An 18,043-nucleotide genomic window follows, 5' to 3' on the forward strand; every position below is an offset into this window, starting at 1 on the left:
GGACTACAGGCGCCCGCCTAATTTTTTGTATTTTTAATAGAGGCGGGGTTTCACCGTGTTAGCCAGGATGGTCTCGATTTCCTGACCTCGTGATCCGCCCTCCTTGGCAATGCTGTATACTTTTAACCACTACATATAAATAAACAAACATTTTTGACATTTGTTTTTACAGAATGAACATAACATCCTTGAAAGTTTTTTTCACAGTTTTACCAATAATGCTACACATGATTGATTTTCCTTTTCCAATTTAAACTTTTCAAAATGCTGAAACTTTAAAATGTCAAACAACTTAAAACACTTTTTCACAAGACCTGATTTTGCCTTTGGAAATCATATTTTTAAAAATCTGGTCATTTCTTACAGAATCAGTGCTATTTGAAAAATGAGTAATAAATTTTATTTCATTTTACTTTATTTATTTATTTATTTATTTATTTATTTATTTATTTATTTATTTATTTTATGAGACGGAGTCTCGCTCTGTCGCCCAGGCTGGAGTGCAGTGGCTGGATCTTGGCTCACTGCAAGCTCGGCCTCCCGGGTTCACGCCATTCTCCTGCCTCAGCCTCCCGAGTAGCTGGGACTACAGGTGCCCACCACCACGCCCGGCTAATTTTGTTTTTTTGTATTTTAGTAGAGACGGGGTTTCACCGTGTTAGCCAGAATGGTCTCGATCTCCTGACCTCGTGATCCGCCTGCCTCGGCGTCCCAAAGTGCTGGGATTACAGGCGTGAGCCACCGCGCTCGGCCTCATTTTACTTTATTTTTTTAAAGCCAGAAGAGCACAGGGTTAAGGGACTTTTTTGAAGGTGTAGTAGAGTAGCTTTAGGAACCAGACCTCTGGGCTCTCAGTTCTGAGGTAACCCTATGGATCGGCAGACCAAGTAGATCTAGATTAGTGGCTTGCAAACTTTTCAACCATGACCCACGTTAATTATCACGGCAAAGTGGACCTATGTGTGTATGTACCCTACATTTATATAAAACAAGTTTCAGACATAATTCTTATCCTTACAAAATATGATGTACCCATAATTCCTTTTCTGTCCTTTTTTTAAAATGCTATTCTTGACCCATGAAATTTGCTTTTTGACCCATTAATGGTCTACAGCTTACAGTTTGAAAAACTTTGATCTAGACCAAAATCAGGCTCCTAGCACTAATGGCTGGCCTGGAAAAGATATTAGCAGCATTTACCTACAGGATCATGAAGTGAAATATTAAAAGCAAATGACTGGCCGGGCGCGGTGGCTCACGTCTGTAATCCCAGCACTTTGGGAGGCCAAGGCGGGCGGATCACAACCTCAGGAGTTCAAGACCAGCCTGGCCAACATGGTGAAACCCCGTCTCTACTAAAAATACAAAAATTAGCCAGGCGTGGTGGCACGCGCCTGTAATCTCAGCTACTCGGGAAGCTGAGGCAAGAGAATGGCTTGAAACCGGGAGGCAGAGATTGCAATGAGCCAACATTGCACCACTGCACTCCAGCCTGGGTGACAGAACGAGACTCCATCTCAAAAAAAAAAAAAAAGTAAATGACTATAGTTTATGGGATTATATTATTGATTTTGTGGGGCATAATTTACATTTTTATTAGAAATTGCCTTTGTTTTATTCATAAACTGATTCTGTTAGGAGCATAATTTCCTATCTTTTAGACTCTGAGTCTGACGTTGCATTCTGACGTTGCATTCTGGCTGGATTTCTGCATTGTTTAAAACAAACTTTCCAACAAATTTGGAAAACTAGTGTCTTAGTTAATATTTGATGCATGAGAATAAGGATATATATCACCTTTGTGAAAGGAGGCTATTAGCAATTATTTTTGCTTAAAAATATTTACATAAAAGAATAATTTCGAGGCTGGGCGTGGTGGCTTACGCCTGTAATCCCAGCACTTTGGGAGACCGAGGTGGGCTGATCACCTGAGGTCAGGAGTTCAAGACCAGCCTGGCCAACATGGTGAAAGCCCATCTCCACAAAAATACAAAAATTAGCCGGGCGTGGTGGCATATGCCTGTAATCCCAGCTACTCGGGAGGCTGAGGCGGAAGAATCACTTGAACCTGGGAGGTGGAGGTTGCAGTGAGCTGAGATAGTGCCATTGCACTCCAGCCTGGGTGACAGAGCGAGACTCCGTCTCAACAACAACAAAAAAGAATAATTTCATTTAGGTGTGACAGCTTCTTGAAGTTGGTAACTGAACAAGTTATAATCACTTTGGAAGTGAAAATAACAAGGCATTTATCTACCTTAAGATTCAGTAAACCAAATCTGCAGGGTGAAATTGGAAATTACTCATGTTATTTTCCTACTACTTTTGAAAAATGCATAACGAAATGTAATTTGGGATATTTATTTCACTTTGCCCTGTTTATATGAATATATTAGGCAAATATATTTATTCATTTATATTCTAATAAAATATACTTTGCATTTATGTAAACTTTAAAATAAAAAAATCACTTAATGTTACAAATAAACATGAATACCAACTATAGAAAGTGCTGTCAAAGAAACTATCAGATTGTGACTGACACAGAAACAGGACATACAGGTTAAGGGATCAGGTAGGCCTCACTAGGAAACCATGTTCAAATGCTAAAAAAGGCAGTTTACAGGCATTCTCACTGATACATGCCCAACTACACCCAGGTCAGACTGGGTAAATGACTTCCAAGTTTACAAAGCTAGCAAGTAGTGGACCCGTTCGAGTCTTCAGAATCCTCGGGTTCTGCTCATAGCATATTAATGTGACTCCTCAAAAGTCACCTGACATTGACACATGAATGCAGTGTCACGTGAGTACATGCTGCTACACACTGCTTATAAAACATATAAAATGAGGTTAGGTTAATATTATTTTAAGTCGTTAAAATGGCTTTTTTTTTTTTTTTTTTTAAGACAGAGTTTCACTCTTGTTGCCCAGGCTGGAGTACAGTGGCGTGATCTTGGCTCACTGCAACCTCTGCCTCCCAGGTTCAAGCGATTCACCTGCCTCAGCCTCCCAAGTAGCTGAGATTACAAGCACCCACCAACACACCCGGCTAATTTTGCATTTTTAGTAGAGACAGGGTTTCACCATTTGGTCAGGCTGGTCTCGAACTCCTGACCTCAAGCGATCCACCCGCCTCAGCCTCCCAAAGTGCTGGGATTACAGGCATGAGCCACCACACCCAGCCTAAAATTGAATTTTTTATAGATTATTATTACTCTCATAGGACAGTAGAGCATATATTTGCTATTATATGGAACATTAAATTTCAGTGTTCGTAATTTCCCATCTTTTATATAGACTGACTTATAGATTTTCACATACTGAACTTTAAAAGGTCCCTTATGTATAACTTACTTAGCTGGATTGTAATAATTTCATAATGTATGCATATGTGAAAGCATCACATTATACACTTTGAGTATATACAGTTTTTGTCAATTATACCTCAAAGCTGAAAATATTTTGGTGAGTTAATTCTATGTGGTCTATGTGTTATAGTGATTGTAGCAAATTTGAAAATGATCAGTGCTTAAATAGCCATTTTTATGTAGGGTTTAATTTTCACAGAGAAGGGAACGTTTTTGGCAGTGTGGGATACCAGGCATGGAGGTGTAGGATCTGGGTATTAGGAGCAGGTGGTGGTAGACAGGAAGAGAACCACAGCAGTGGTGGTGATGTCAGCAGCTTACCAGAGCTAGGGATAGAAGCCCCCCACTTAGAAGTGTGACATCTAAGTTAACCTCTGCTGCTTACTTAAAGGTGTATTTAGGATTAGTGCCATGCTGTGAAATGGCATATGAAAACAGGAACTCTCTATATAAAAATGTTTTTTATTCAGTCTTTGTGCTCAGTACTACAGATATCTTAATAAACAATTGAATAAAATCACCATCATTTGGGGTGTTGAGAAATCGTTTCACTTTGGAAGTTACCAACATAGGTACTTGGCTGGGTTTCTTATTTATTTCTTTGTTTCCTACTCTCACTTGTGGGTTTTTTTTTCAGTTTTCTTCTTCCCAGTCTGATGAGAGTATATCTTTGGCCATTTGGGGTTCTATTATAAATGATTGCATACATTGAAAAGGATATCTTACATTATCTTTAATGTATTCTCTAAAGGAATATAACGATATATAATTTTATAAGTTTTTAATAGGCATATTTTTTAACAAAATAAGGAATAAGAGCCATAAATTTGGATTCCCTGGGTTTGTCAGAAGGGAAACTCCAGGGGGAAATGTATTTATGGATGTTATATGCGTTTTAACTAATATACGGTATAAGCATAACTTGGAACGTTGTCTTTCAGAACTTAAGGAGGGGAAGAGGAAGGGAACTAACATTTGTGGAGTGCCTGCCATGTGCCAGGCACTGTGCTAGACACTTTGACATACATTGTAGGGTTTATTGTGAGTATTAAATGAGATACTGTATCCCCATTTTACAGATGAGGAAACTGAACTTGCCCCAAGTCACATGGCTGGTAAGTGGCAGAGCTGGACTAGAACCCAGACTCCAAACCCCATGCTTTTTCTGCTGTACCGTGTTTAAAGCTTGCAAAGAGAGATATGTAGTTAATGACCAAAATTGAGAGTTCTAGGAATTTTCTTTTCCCATGAAATATTTGATACTGAACCTAAAAAAAAAAAAATGCTTTCATGTCAGGAGCTAGATGGAAGCACATCATAATGAGAACGCCTTTGCTTTTAAAATGCTATGTTAGACTTATCTAAAGTGCATCTAAGGAAAATTTAAGAAATAATGCCTTTTATCAAGAAAGGCCACTTTGAAGAGACACATCGCATCTTGTAGGGCTTTCCATGTCTTAGAGGTAAAGGTTTAGCTATAATAATGTAAGTTTATAAGAAAGACTGCTTATTTTAAGCATTCTAAATGACAGCAGGCTTGTGCAAAACCCGAGGAAGTTCAAATTTTACTTCATACAGCACACATTAACTCATGAAACACCCATTATATGCCAAGTATGTGCTAGATTCTAGGGGTTTCTGGGGTTAAAAAGATACTATCCCTGATTTGTCTTAAAGTTTTTGCTTTCCTGAGAATAAAGTTAGTGTACAAATATCTTATAATCTTTCTTCAATCATGATTGTTAATTCCCCACTGATAACCCATATATTTTCAAAATATGAAAATTCTAGAATAAAAAGTAATTTAGACACTTTCAGTAGTTAAATGGGACAGGAAGTGGCCTTTATAAGAATACAGGAATAGCAGTGTGTCATCAGAGAATGCAGGATGGTCTTTGAACTGTGATCCTTGGTGTCTTATCTGCTTTAAATTTCCACTGAGTTCATAATATTGGAAATTTGAAGCTAACTAAGATAAATACTTTTTATAACTTGTTTTAAAATTAAAACTTGTGACATTTAGATTTTCTCAAAACAAGAGATTATCTTTGTATCTTTATTTTTTTAAGAGACAAGGTCTTGCTATGTTGCCCAGGCTGGACTTGAACTCCTGGGCTCAAGTGATCCTCATGCCTCAGCCTCTGAAGGAGCTGAGATTACAGGCATGAGCCACTGTGCACAGCTGTCTTTGCCCATATCTTTTTAAATGTACTTTACTAATAAGATTATATTTGAGTATATGGAATTTGTCCATCGACCATTAGAAGTATACCACCATATAGATCCTTTGGGATATTATAGAAATTTATACAAATTCCTACTAATTTATACTAACTCCTGTTTCTGGCTTGAACTAATGCGCTTGTCATTTTGATTTTATTGAGGGAAGTAAAATGAATATATGATACCTCTGAAAAATTATAATAAAACCCAGTCACCTAACATCTCAGAACTAATACATCTGAATATATCATCCCCTTCCAAGTTATTTTAAAGTGGTATTTTTTTCTGAGCTATCGCTCAAAATGTTTTTAAGAATTCTTATTTTGGAACTGCCATTATCTTTCATGGTGCCAAATTTGGTCCCTTGAGGGTGGTTGTTGCTTCTGGAAACAGGCAAGAGTTGTTTGGAAGCATTTCTGATAAATACAAGGCCAATGAATGAACGTCTTTTTTTGCTTTTTTCCTTTTTTTTTTTCCTGAGACAGGGTCTTACTCTGTCGCTCAGGCTGGAGTGCAGTAGCATAATAACGGCTCACTGTAGCCTCAACCTCCTGGGCTCACATGATCTTCCCACCTAAGGCTCTGGAACCACAGACGCACGCCACCACACCTGGTTAATTTTTGTATGTCTTGTAGAGATCAGGTTTCTCCATGTTGCCCAGGCTGGTCTTGAACTCCTGGACTCAAGTGAACCTCCTACCTTGGCCTTCCAAAATGCTGGGATTATAGGCGTGAGCCACCATGTCTGCCCTTGAACTTCATTGTTCACCTGTGACTATTCCCACCCACCCTTTTTTTAAAAAAACAAGTTTTTTGTGGCCGGGCGCAGTGGCTCACGCCTGTGATCCCAGCACTTTGGGAGGCTGAGGCAGGTAGATCACGAGGTTAGGAGTTCGAGACCAGCCTGGCCAGAATGGTGAAATCTCATCTCTACTAAACATACAAAAATTAGCTGGGAGCGGTGGTGGGCGTCTGTAATCCCAGCAACTTGGAAGGCTGAGGCAGGAGAATGGCTTCAACCTGCGAGGCGGAGGTTGCAGTGAGCCGAGATTGTGCCACTGCACTCTATCCTGGGTGGCAGCGTGAGACTCTGTCTCAAAATAAAAATAAAAAGTAAAAAGTTTTTTTTTTTGTTTTTTGTTTTTTTTTAAACTAGCTTTTGTATATATCATGGAACCATCCTGCTCTAACTTCATATTACAAGAAAACAGCAAACGTCTACAGAACTAGAGTGTAATGAGCCCCTCTCTACCCATTAATTTTACTACACGTCTGTGTGAGCAGTGTTTGGAAAGAATGATCCTAGACCAAGGTCCATATCCATGCTGCCTGCATGTGTCAACCTGGTGTCATGTAAACTTCTCATTCGTCACTGGCTATTGTTCCAATTTTAGAAGACCTAGGTGACCACCAGCTGTTCTATTGTTTCAGCCTTTATTACCCCATAACCTTCTTCCCTGGATGTGGGTGAAGAGAAAAAAGAGGAGAGCTATGTTATTCTCTGCTCCACTCCATCTCTTCTGACAATACGATGAAGATATGTTAAACAATCTATTAAGTTAGTTTATAACTGGCTTAACGTGACCTTGTTAACTATCTCAAAGCTATACAGTTTTGTACGACTCATTGAGTTGTCTGTGTATACATTATTTTGTATAGTCACAAAAACAAATTTAGGACTTTTCCCAAGTTTATTCATATGCTGGTGATCATTAATCACAATTAGGCCAGGCACAGTGGCTCACGCCTGTAATCTCAGCACTTTGGGAGGCCAAGGCAGGCAGATCACGAGGTCGGGAGATCAAGACCATCCTGGGCAACATGGTGAAACCCTGTTTCTACTAAAAATACAAAAATTAGCTGGGCATGATGGCGCGTGCCTGTAATCCCAGCTACTCGGGAGGCTGAGGCAAGAGAATCACTTGAACCAGGGAGTAGAAGGTTGCAGTAAGCCAAGATTGCACCAGTGCGCTCCAGCCTGGTGTCAGCAAAACTACGTCTCAAAAAAAAAAAAAAAAAAAAATCAATTATTCCCTATCACCAATGTTTTAAAATTACATGTAGAAGGAAAAGGCAGTACAACCTTATAAACAATATTTTTATTAATTCTATGAAAATCTTTAAGTGAGCTTCCTTGAAAGCCATGTTTTTAACTGTTGTATTCTTTCACCTAATTCTCAAGCCTTAGAAGGCAGAAATCTGGCATATACCCAAATAGAAGCACATAAATCAGTTAATCTTTGTTTAACTTTTTTAAACAAAGTTTCAGTGATAATATCCTATTTAGCTGACAAAGTATTTGTCTCCCATGGGTAGCATTTCACTTCTTATTCATTGGGTATAATACATTTTCATGAAATACAGAAATGCTGTGTTTTCCTCTTTTGATTGGAATTTAGTTCAGGCAATTGTTATAGAATTTGATAACTTTTTAAAAAATCTTTTTTCTTGCACTTAGCTTTGAGAGAGCATGTATTTTGTAATGTCTCATCAGAGTGACAAACTAACTCTGGACCATACGTTCTCAATGTTGAAGCGTTGGTGGTAGAAATGTTTTATCACTCGAATCCATCTGTCTTTTCTAGGAAGCTATGTTTCTTGCAGTAGACAAATTTTGAATATAAATTAGGAAACTTTGAGAACTTACTTTTAGTATTTGATCTGAATACTAAGTAAATATTAAACGCTGTATTTTAACTGTATGATTATACTATGCTTAGACAATACTTTTAAATGAATATTTACAAATGTATTATTTTCCTAGAAACCTAAGAAAGAAAAATTATCTTTCCCCAGAGAAACTAGGTTTAAGCAGAGCTTTGCTGGGTTTTTATTGTTGTTTTTTGTTTTTTTTACTGAAACTGCAGTGAGCTCAATTCCTTCCAGTGCTTCAGTGATTTTCTAGTAATGAGAATTGCACTTAAAGACATTCAGTGACTGTTTCAGGCATGATATGGAGTATAGGAAAATCTCTAAACTGAAACATTCAGAGGATGGAGATATTCTGCTTAATGGAAATTTTTGCAGTGGTGTGCTACAGTCAGCTCCTCCTGGCTTGCTAGAGCCTATTATTAAATTTTCAGGCCGGGCGTGGTGGCTCACGCCTGTAATCCCAACACTTTGCGAGGTTGAGGCAGGCAGATCACTTGAGGTCAGGAGTTCAAGACCAGCCTGGCCAACATGGCAAAACACCATCTCTACTAAAAATACAAAATTAGCCAGGTGTCGTGGTGCACGCCTGTAATCCCAGCTACTTGGGAGGCTGAGGTACAAGAATCGCTTGAACTGGGGAGGTGGAGGTTACAGTGAGCCAAGATTACACCACTGCACTCCAGCCTGGAGCCACTTAGTGAGACTCTGTCTAAAAAAAAAAGCCAGGCGCGATGGCTCACACCTGTAATCCCAGCACTTTGGGAGGCCAAGGTGGGAGGATCACGAGGTCAGGAGATTGAGACCATCCTGGCTAACACGGTGAAACCCCGTCTCTACTAAAAATACAAAAAATTAGCCAGGCGTGGTGGCAGGCGCCTGTAGTCCCAGCTACTCGGGAGGCTGAGGCAGGAGAATGGCATGAACCCAGGAGGCGGAGCTTGCAGTGAGCCAAGATCGCGCCACTGCACTCCAGCCTGGGCGACAGAGCGAGACTCCGTCTCAAAAAAAAAAAAATATGTGTGTGTATAAATATGTATATATATACATGCATATATATATGCATATATACATACACATACACAATTTACACATTAAAAACATTAGTACTCAAAACTCATAATTTCCAAGTATTTTCTCTGTGCTCTGTGGGTATTGGCATCTGTTTTGTCTGTATGCTGTGCTGCTTACCACGTGTGTGTCTTTCCAACTCTACGCTCAGGAAAGTCACCTTGGTAGCTTGAAACTGGCCATGGTGGAAGTATTTACATCGTGAGAATTACTGAACACTACACATCAGGGCTTTTTCATTGTTTTGTCCTGAGGACTGTTTCTTAAATATTTATTAGCACACCACTGACTTTAAGCTAAATGAGCATCTTAAGCTTTTGCCTTTGATAAAAACCTGTCTAAAATGCATTAGGATGCTTTTCTACCTTAAGTGTTTAGAGCATGCTAAATATCATTGTTCTAAGTGCTGAAGAAGATCTTTAATACTTGAGATTGCTATAATGCTCAGAATAATTATCTTAAACATTACAAGATCACCTCTTATGAGATGTCAAAAGTATATCATTTCCAGATCAGTTTTATGTAAAATGCCAAATTATGAATTCTTTATATAAGCTCAAAATATTTTGTTTTACTGCAGCTGCCACTGGTGACATGCCAACTTACCAGATCCGAGCTCCTACTGCTGCTTTGCCACAGGGAGTGGTGATGGCTGCATCGCCCGGAAGTTTGCACAGTCCCCAGCAGCTGGCAGAAGAAGCAACACGCAAACGAGAGCTGAGGCTAATGAAAAACAGGTGAGGTGTTGCACAGGGAATCGGTAACTTCTAGGACACTTTTTAAAAATTACAGTTTTCACCGGGCGCAGTGGCTCACGCCTGTAATCCCAGCACTTTGGGAGGCCAAGGCAGGCGGATCACAGGGTCAGGAGATCAAGACCATCCTGGCTAACACGGTGAAACCCCATCTCTACTAAAAAATACAAAAAAATTCGCCGGGCGTGGTGGCAGGTGCCTGTAGTCCCAGCCACTTGGGAGGCTGAGGCAGGACAATGGCATGAACCTGGGAGGCGGAGGTTGCAGTGAGCCAAGATCGTGCCACTGCACTCCAGCCTGGGCGACAGAGCGAGACTCCATCTCAAAAAAATAATAAAACAATATTAAATATTAATAAATGATAATAAAATAATGATAAAAATAATATCAATAAATAAAAATAAAAATAAAAATTACAGTTTTCAGCTGGGCGCAGTGGCTCCCGCCTGTAATCCCAGCACTTTGGGAGGTCAAGGCGGGCAGATCACAAGGTCAAGAGATTGAGACCATCCTGGCCAATATGACGAAACCCTGTCTCTACTAAAAATACAAAAATTAGCTGGGTGTGGTGGTGTGCACCTGTAATCCCAGCTACTCGGGAGGCTGAGGCAAGAGAATCACTTGAACCCGGAAGGCGGAGCTTGCAGTGAGCTGAGGTCGCGCCACTGGACTGCAGCCTGGGTGACAGTGAGACTCCGTCTTAAAAAAAAAAAATTACAGTTTTCATAAGCCATTTCTCCCAAGTTACATGTTGTGTGGCATTTCATGTAGGTTTGTGCTCTGTGTGTGTTATTAGATTGTCTTCCAGTCAGAATTCCTGGCTGTTAAACTATTTCATCAGCAGGAGTTACATCCCTATGTTGTAAGGGTGATGTCCAAAAGATACAGTAATTTTTAAAAATAATGATTAAAGGACTTTGTTAGAAACAAAGAGCTATTTTGTATTTAGTATTTGCTGTGAAGTAGGTGATAAGTCGAATTTTTTAGCTTCTCTCTGAGAAAAATGAAGTGTAAGTGAGGCGTTACTTTTCGACATTTTCTACATGTAGTTTCCTTTTGTCTATTTTTTAACTTTTTTTCCTCTATTACACTGAAATACATATTTAATCTGATAAATTCTAGTCAAGTGCAAATACAAAATAACAAAAAGAATTAAAATCATCCATGGCTCTAACCACTTAGGATACCTCCTATTATAGTCTATGTACTTCCAGTCAGCTCTCATTTTCTCTCACTTTTTCTTGCTCCATATCTCTGTCATTTTATTTTTAAGCAACATATTATAAAATGCTATTTTCTAAAACTTTTTAAAAATTTAAACATAAATAAAATTTTATTTAACTTGTATATTATTTATTGGTTTAGTTTTTATTATGAATAATGGTGCAAATTAATCTGATTTTCAAAAGGAACAGAATTGTCTTAGAGTTTCCCAGTAGTCTTGTCACCTTAGTCCTAATGTCAAATAATGTCCTCATTGTGTGCAGCCAGGACAGAGATTCAGCAGTGTTATCAAGGGCCCAGACTCCCGCTCCCGGCTGTGTCATCTTCAGCATGTATCATTCATTCTCATGATCACAGCGCGGCTACTGAACCTCTAGGCATTGCCTCAGACAGGAAGAAGGGCTAGAGCCAAAAATTGGGGCTAGCTGAGGTCTGGCCCAACTGCAAACCTTTCCTGGAAGATCCTCCCAGCAACTTTCACCTACATTTCATTGGCTAGAAATAGGTCTTTAGTCCCTAGCTGTACAGGATTCTGAGAAAGGTTTATTTTCGCTTTCTAAATCTCAGTTTCAGAGCAAGACAAGAGAAATGCAGATGATACCTGGCTGTTAGGTTGCTCATTATCTGTTTAGCAGATTTTAAGTGCTTTATTTCTACTGTGTGTTTAATGCTTACATGAGAATAGGTGATTATTATGCCCAGTTTACAGATGAGGACCAGAAGTTCAGAGATGTTAAGGAATAAGTTGGTCAAGATCACATGGCCCAAACTGGGCAGAACCAGGATGGGCAACCGGGCAGTCTTTATTCCAGAGCCTGTCCTCTATACCAGCATCAGGCATCTCAAAAATACCCCATGATAACCTGCAAATTTCACTTCCTGGGGAAGTGTGAGGCTTTAGTCATTCACAGATAGATCTCTTACATATTTTCTTTTTATTCTTTGATTGGCATCTATAATCGATATCTCATTATATCGTATTTCTGCCAATCCAGCAACAGTTTTTATTTCTTTCCAGCCTTGTCAGAGTTTCTTCCTTGCCTTGCACTTCCTCTCCGTGCTGAGGATACACCCAGACACATGCAAGCCTGAAAACCGAGCTCACTATTAATAGAAGAAACAGGTGTTTTCCATGGCTGAGGAGTGCTTAGGAATGTACCATCTACTGATGTGATCGGGGAAAGCTTTGTGCCTGCAACATTTTGACTCTAGTAATATGTGTGTCTGTGCATGCACACACACACATGCACACTCAAATGTAGAAGATGAAGTATGAGTATTTATAATAGCTTATTAAAGAAAATGTTTAAACACCCGCAACACCGCTATTAGGTCTTTAAATTTTTCATTTAATGGTAACCATGTTTTGTAAAATGACTATCTTCCTTCTAGGTCTAGAATTTAATATAATTTAATCATGAAAACGTTGGTATTCATAAATGAATTTCAGTGCCTTTGTGGAAAAGAGTTAAATTATGTCCCCAAATTGGCAAATGTGTGTGTTTGGATTTATTCTTAACTTTTCCAATTGCATCATTTAGATTAAATTAGTCACTATAACATTCTTTTCAATTTTACATTTTAAATTTCTTTTGTTAACCAGCTGAGAAGTCTGAGAACTTTGTATGTTCACAGGGTGAGTCCATTGTTCCTGGCTAGGAAGCAGGGGTTGATCTTTTCCTGCAGTTCATTTGGATTGAAGGTTCTTCTTTGCTGACTCTTGCTTCCATAGTGAAAACACAGATATCCACTCAGTGAGAGTCAGCTATCTTAAAAAAAAAAAAAAAATCATGTATACATCACATGTGGTTCAGGATGCTAGCTGGCATTACAGAAACTGGTGTTTAGACATTCAACACTGCTTTTTTTAACATATTTGAATGATAGTGTCTGTTTCAGTGCAGGCTTTTTTGACATGAAGGGTGATCTACCTCAAAGGCAGTTATTCTGGAATTGAATCCTCCAAAATGAGGCCAATTAAAGGGTGTCTTCTACATAGGAGTTAAGGGAAGTGGTTGCCATCCCTCCCACCCTGAAAAAAAGAAAAAGAGAAAATGTTGGCTCTATTTATTGTTTTGGTGGGGTTATGTATGAAAATGACTAAGTCAACTCATCTGTTTGTGTTGTTGCTTTGGCTACTGGTCTGTTCTTTCATTTTGGGCTTATAGTGCTTTAAAATTCAATATATTGGATATTAAATGCATGTGATTAGGAAACAGTCTTGAAATATGCCCAGAGTTACTCAGTAGCTTCTTTTTTATAATTTTAATTGTGGTGGTCTCACATTTGTGGGTTTAAATTGTCTGAGTTATTGAGTGTTGTATTTTGTAGCCCCCTTCTTTAATTTTCAGAAGCACTGTCCATTTCATTTCGGTTTATAAAAATGCACATCTTTTGTTTATTGTTATGATTTATCCATGTGTGTTTTCTAGCCAATAAACTGTGTCTTGCAGTCATGATTGATCTTGTTTTACTGAGATTTAGTTTTGAAGACTAAAAATCTCCAGTGTTGATATTTAAGGTTTTTGAGGATTAATTCTTATAATCATTTTTGATCGAATAAAATTAACTCATTATGTCGGAGTATGTGCCTTTTGGGAGACAAAAATAATTAAGAGAATTGAAAGGATCTATAAATGTGTTTGTAGAAATTCCACTTGGGGATGTGGTCCTATTGTAGTTTACTGAAAACAGTTGTGGGCATTGTTACCAGTGGAATGTGTGCCCTAAGAAAACACCATTTGTGATGAATGCTGGGCGAACTGTGTTCTCAAATCATTCCTGTTGTCTAATGGTTATCTTACAAAAAGCATGTGCCTGGTTATGTTTGTTATGTGGCTTTGTACAGTCCTTACCTAGGATCGATTGGCTGTTGAGTTCGGGGGGCAGAAGTGCACTGACCCACTGTGGATTGTGTTGGAAGGCTGTTCCTGTAGTCATTTGCCTTGTGTTGCTTCCAGGGAAGCTGCCCGGGAGTGTCGCAGGAAGAAGAAAGAATATGTCAAATGTCTTGAAAATCGTGTGGCTGTGCTTGAAAACCAAAACAAGACTCTCATTGAGGAACTCAAGGCCCTCAAAGATCTTTATTGCCATAAAGTAGAGTAACTGTCTTTGACTTGGACCTTGTTTACTCTAATCAAGGCAGGAGATGCAGCAGTCCTACTTATTGCCATGTGGACTTGTGGGAAGGACACGTGTGACCCTTAAGAATCCAGTTTGGATTAGTGTTTGAAATTGAATTGGGAATGTTGTTCCAGGATGTGGAATGCAGCCGTGATCACACTTACCGAGCTTACTTTGATCTGTTTGTCAATAGCATGCAAAAAATGCTTTGTTTGCCCTTTGCTTCTGCTTTTTTTCAGGGAAGCTGCCAAAGAATGTCGACGTCGAAAGAAAGAATATGTAAAATGTCTGGAGAGCCGAGTTGCAGTGCTGGAAGTCCAGAACAAGAAGCTTATAGAGGAACTTGAAACCTTGAAAGACATTTGTTCTCCCAAAACAGATTACTAGAAATATTTAACTATGAACTGAAGGCAGCATGTATAGTTGCTTTTGAAGGAATACAATATATAGCTGGCAAGAATGGTGGCTTCTTTTCTTTGTATCATTCATCTTCTTCTTTAATCACTTAACATTCCTAAAATGCTTCACTGTACGTAGTTAAGTCGTAGCTATAACTTCAAATTTTTTAAAAGAGACAAACTGTAAAAAATGTGTGTATTCTTAAAATGCAATATTTGTAAGGCTTGTTCCAATGCCACATACTTGCAGCTCCCATTCTATGTGTCATCAATAGTGTCCTATGCAATAAAATTATTTGCAGGTCTTTAAATCATTTTAGGAAAGGATGATCAAAAATAATGCATCCAGCAGTACAATAAAAGTAAACCACAAAAAAATACCTCAGGAAAGAATAGAAAGAAAGTCTATCTAATGACATGCCTATATGAGAAGAATAGCCTAGATATGAATATATGGCATTTGCAGATTTTTATATTAGTTGCTTTGTTAAAAAAAAAAAGATTGTATTGCTGTCCTTGAATGCCATAGTCAAAGAGAGTTTTTAATAGAACCATGTTGGTTGCACTTTGTAGTGTTTGGTGCTCATTTAAATATCTGAACATTTACTACAGTTTTTAACTCTACTGTGTAATATAAAAGATCTTGCAGAAGTTCTTAGTGTTGGTTTAATATTACCTAATGAAAGTGATGACATATTTTTTATATCTGGAATGAGCCTGTTGGGATCGCATTGCATACCTTCGGGGTACAAGTCAGTTTCTACACTGGGTGCTGATCCTTGCACGCGCCCTTTCTACCATCTCACGGTGGGGATGGCCGCAGGGCTGTGCACCCAGAAGAAGATGGCTGTTAGCGTTTCGGCCTTCATAATGGCCTGAGACTTTCTTTCTGTAGGTGGTCTGGAGCTGTCCGGCTGGTGGCCCCCTATTTTGCCATTTAGCGAACAACCACAGGAATTTTAAAAACAAAAACATCCCAAGATTTTTTCATTTCAAAATGCTTCAAAGTCCACATTAGATCAGATACTCCGCTGTCGGCACATTCAGCTGAGGTTCATTACAATCGAGACTGCAATGTGATCTATGTTTCATCTTGTTTTTATAATAAAAAGCTTCAGGGAACAAGCCCAAAGCCCTCACCACAGGATGCTGTGTCCCCTCATTCCCTGACGTTTCTTGATTGTCTGCCGCGTGGTGGACTCTGCTGTGTTTCCTGCTGTGACTTCTGCTTTAAGGATGTCCCTGCCCCACCCCCCAGTTTCAAGAGTGGATCTGATCAGTGTGTGGTGGGAGACAGAAAATTGGGAGCTGGTTTGCGGAGCATCCAGCTGCTGCTTTCCCTGTACCACTGGAATTCTTTCCCTTATCTGTCACTCCCAGTAAGTAGGGCATGTCATTGTTGGCTTTCTTTAAAAATATTTATTCTTCCTTCAGAGTCGGAGCTCTGAATTTCTTTTTTCTTTTTTTCTTTTAAGACAGAGTCTTGGTTTGTCACTCAGGCTGGAGTGCAGTGGCGTGATCTCAACTCACCACAACCTCCGCCTCCCGGGTTCAAACAATTCTTCTGCCTCAGCCTCCCGAGTAGCTGAGATTACAGGCGTACACCACTACACCCAGCTGATTTTTCTATTTTTAGTAGAGATGAGGTTTCACCATGTTGGCCAGGCTAGGCTCGAACTCCTGGCCTCAAGTAATCCACCTGCCTTGGCCTCCCAAAGTGCTGGGATTACAGGTGCGAGCCACCGCACCCGGCCTAAATTTCTTTTATCTCAATTTTTGTCTTCTCTTCTACAGAGAAGATGAGGAAAGAAGTCAAGGAAGAAAAAGGAAAGGAAAACTCCAGGTTTCAGGTGCAGGACAGTAGGACCTTGCATTCACTCATCTGCCCAGTCAGTTGCTGTGCGCCAGTGGTGTGGCTGGGGTGGGTGGACACACAGAGGGGACACGAGGATCAGCAGGCAAGATGTACAAAGTTGGAGACGATGCACGCTACATGTTAGAATTCTAGAAAGATGCAGCTGGGGGTTAAACAGGAGACTTTATGTGGGAAGTGGATTTTGAACTGGGCCTTGAAGTGATTGACAGTGCTGGGGCGTGGGGTGGGTACTTCGGGAATACAGAGCACACACACTGCTCCAAGGAGCTTGGGTCTGGAGGACAGAGGGAGGCCAAGTGAGTTCTCACCCAAGAGCTAGTTTCATTTAAAAATCAGGGGAAGACAGAAGCAATGTGTGCGCATGCCTGTGTGTACTCTAGTCTGCAAAATAGGTTATATTATTTTAGAGGAAAGGGACTATCCAATTACTTGGGACCACCAGCAACAGAAGCCCCCCTTCCCAAACCCAGTGGTTTAAACAATAAGGAAATACACTACCTTGCAAAACAAGAAGTCTAGTGGTAAGAAATCCCAGGCTTGCTAATTTAGTGACAACGATGGCATCACGACCAGATCCTTCCTCCTCATTCTTTTCCCTCTACCTGCTGGTTCCCCGACCTTAATATTGCTGCCACAGTCCCAGGCATCAGAAATGGAAAAGACAGCACCCTTTTTGGGGGGATACTGCTTTTTTCTTTGTTTTTTGTTGTTTTTTTGAGACGGAGTCTCACTCTGTTGCCCAGGCTGGGGTGCAGTGGTGTGATCTCGGCTCACTGCAAGCTCCACCTCCCAGCCCAAAGACTGGGCTGAAAGGCACTGGGTTGCTCATGAGGATTCAGCCCCTAGGGTTGAGGATCTTCCAGGCTTTGGGGAAGCATATGGCCATCAATGTCGAATAAAACTGGGCTTCTGGAAGAGTGGCTTGTAGACACTGGGGACGTCTGGCACTGGGACTGAGCACTTACCCTGTACAAGAAGTGAGGAACAGCTTGTGACAGGCTGGGGCTTGAGCCATGCTCCCAGACCTGCATGGGAACTCTTATTCTTGCTCATGAAATGTATCCCTGAAGCCAAGCTTCTGCTACCAAAATAGCACGATTTGACAGCAGTGCTTTCAGCCTTACAGCAGATACTGCCTACGACCTCTCCCTCAACAGAACCTGCAGTAGGGGAAGCTTTGCAGGGGGGAACGTTGCACATCTCGCACACCCTTGCGCGTGGGATCCACAGCGCTCCCACACCCGTGCGCGTGGGATCCGGAGCTCCCCGCACACCCGTGCGCGTGGGATCCACAGCTCTCCCCACACCCGGGCGTGTGGGATCCACAGCGCTCCTCACACCCGTGCGTGTGGGATC

At 40.2% G+C, this 18,043-nt stretch overlaps 1 protein-coding gene across 77 annotated transcripts in view, besides 2 other annotated features; it reads left to right on the forward strand.

The window, feature by feature from the left end:
• CREM (cAMP responsive element modulator) overlaps positions 1-15,955 on the forward strand; it is an 86,113-nt gene extending 70,158 nt beyond the window's left edge. For 16 of the 77 annotated variants that reach the window (NM_001394595.1, NM_001394600.1, NM_001394613.1 and 13 more), the window contains 2 exons: positions 9,892-10,048; positions 14,653-15,950. In NM_001394595.1, coding sequence (NP_001381524.1) covers positions 9,892-10,048; positions 14,653-14,800 — 305 coding nt within the window. In that variant the 3' untranslated portion in view covers positions 14,801-15,950. Of the gene's footprint in view, positions 1-4,447; positions 4,484-9,891; positions 10,049-12,308 lie in introns of all 77 variants that reach the window. The other 61 variants (NM_183011.2, NM_183012.2, NM_001394618.1 and 58 more) reach the window with 10 other exon arrangements.
• Positions 14,284-14,843: an enhancer, noted in NCBI's record as "NANOG-H3K27ac hESC enhancer chr10:35500215-35500774 (GRCh37/hg19 assembly coordinates)". NCBI's record gives its function as "activates a minimal SCP1, AML or CMV promoter by ChIP-STARR-seq in naive H9 embryonic stem cells {active_cell/tissue: H9 hESC(naive)}" and the evidence as "EXISTENCE:reporter gene assay evidence [ECO:0000049][PMID:30033119]".
• Positions 17,484-17,985: an enhancer, noted in NCBI's record as "H3K4me1 hESC enhancer chr10:35503415-35503916 (GRCh37/hg19 assembly coordinates)". NCBI's record gives its function as "activates a minimal SCP1, AML or CMV promoter by ChIP-STARR-seq in naive H9 embryonic stem cells {active_cell/tissue: H9 hESC(naive)}" and the evidence as "EXISTENCE:reporter gene assay evidence [ECO:0000049][PMID:30033119]".

Source organism: Homo sapiens, chromosome 10 (genome assembly GCF_000001405.40).
Source record: "Homo sapiens chromosome 10, GRCh38.p14 Primary Assembly".
Classification (NCBI taxonomy): Eukaryota; Metazoa; Chordata; class Mammalia; order Primates; family Hominidae; genus Homo; species Homo sapiens.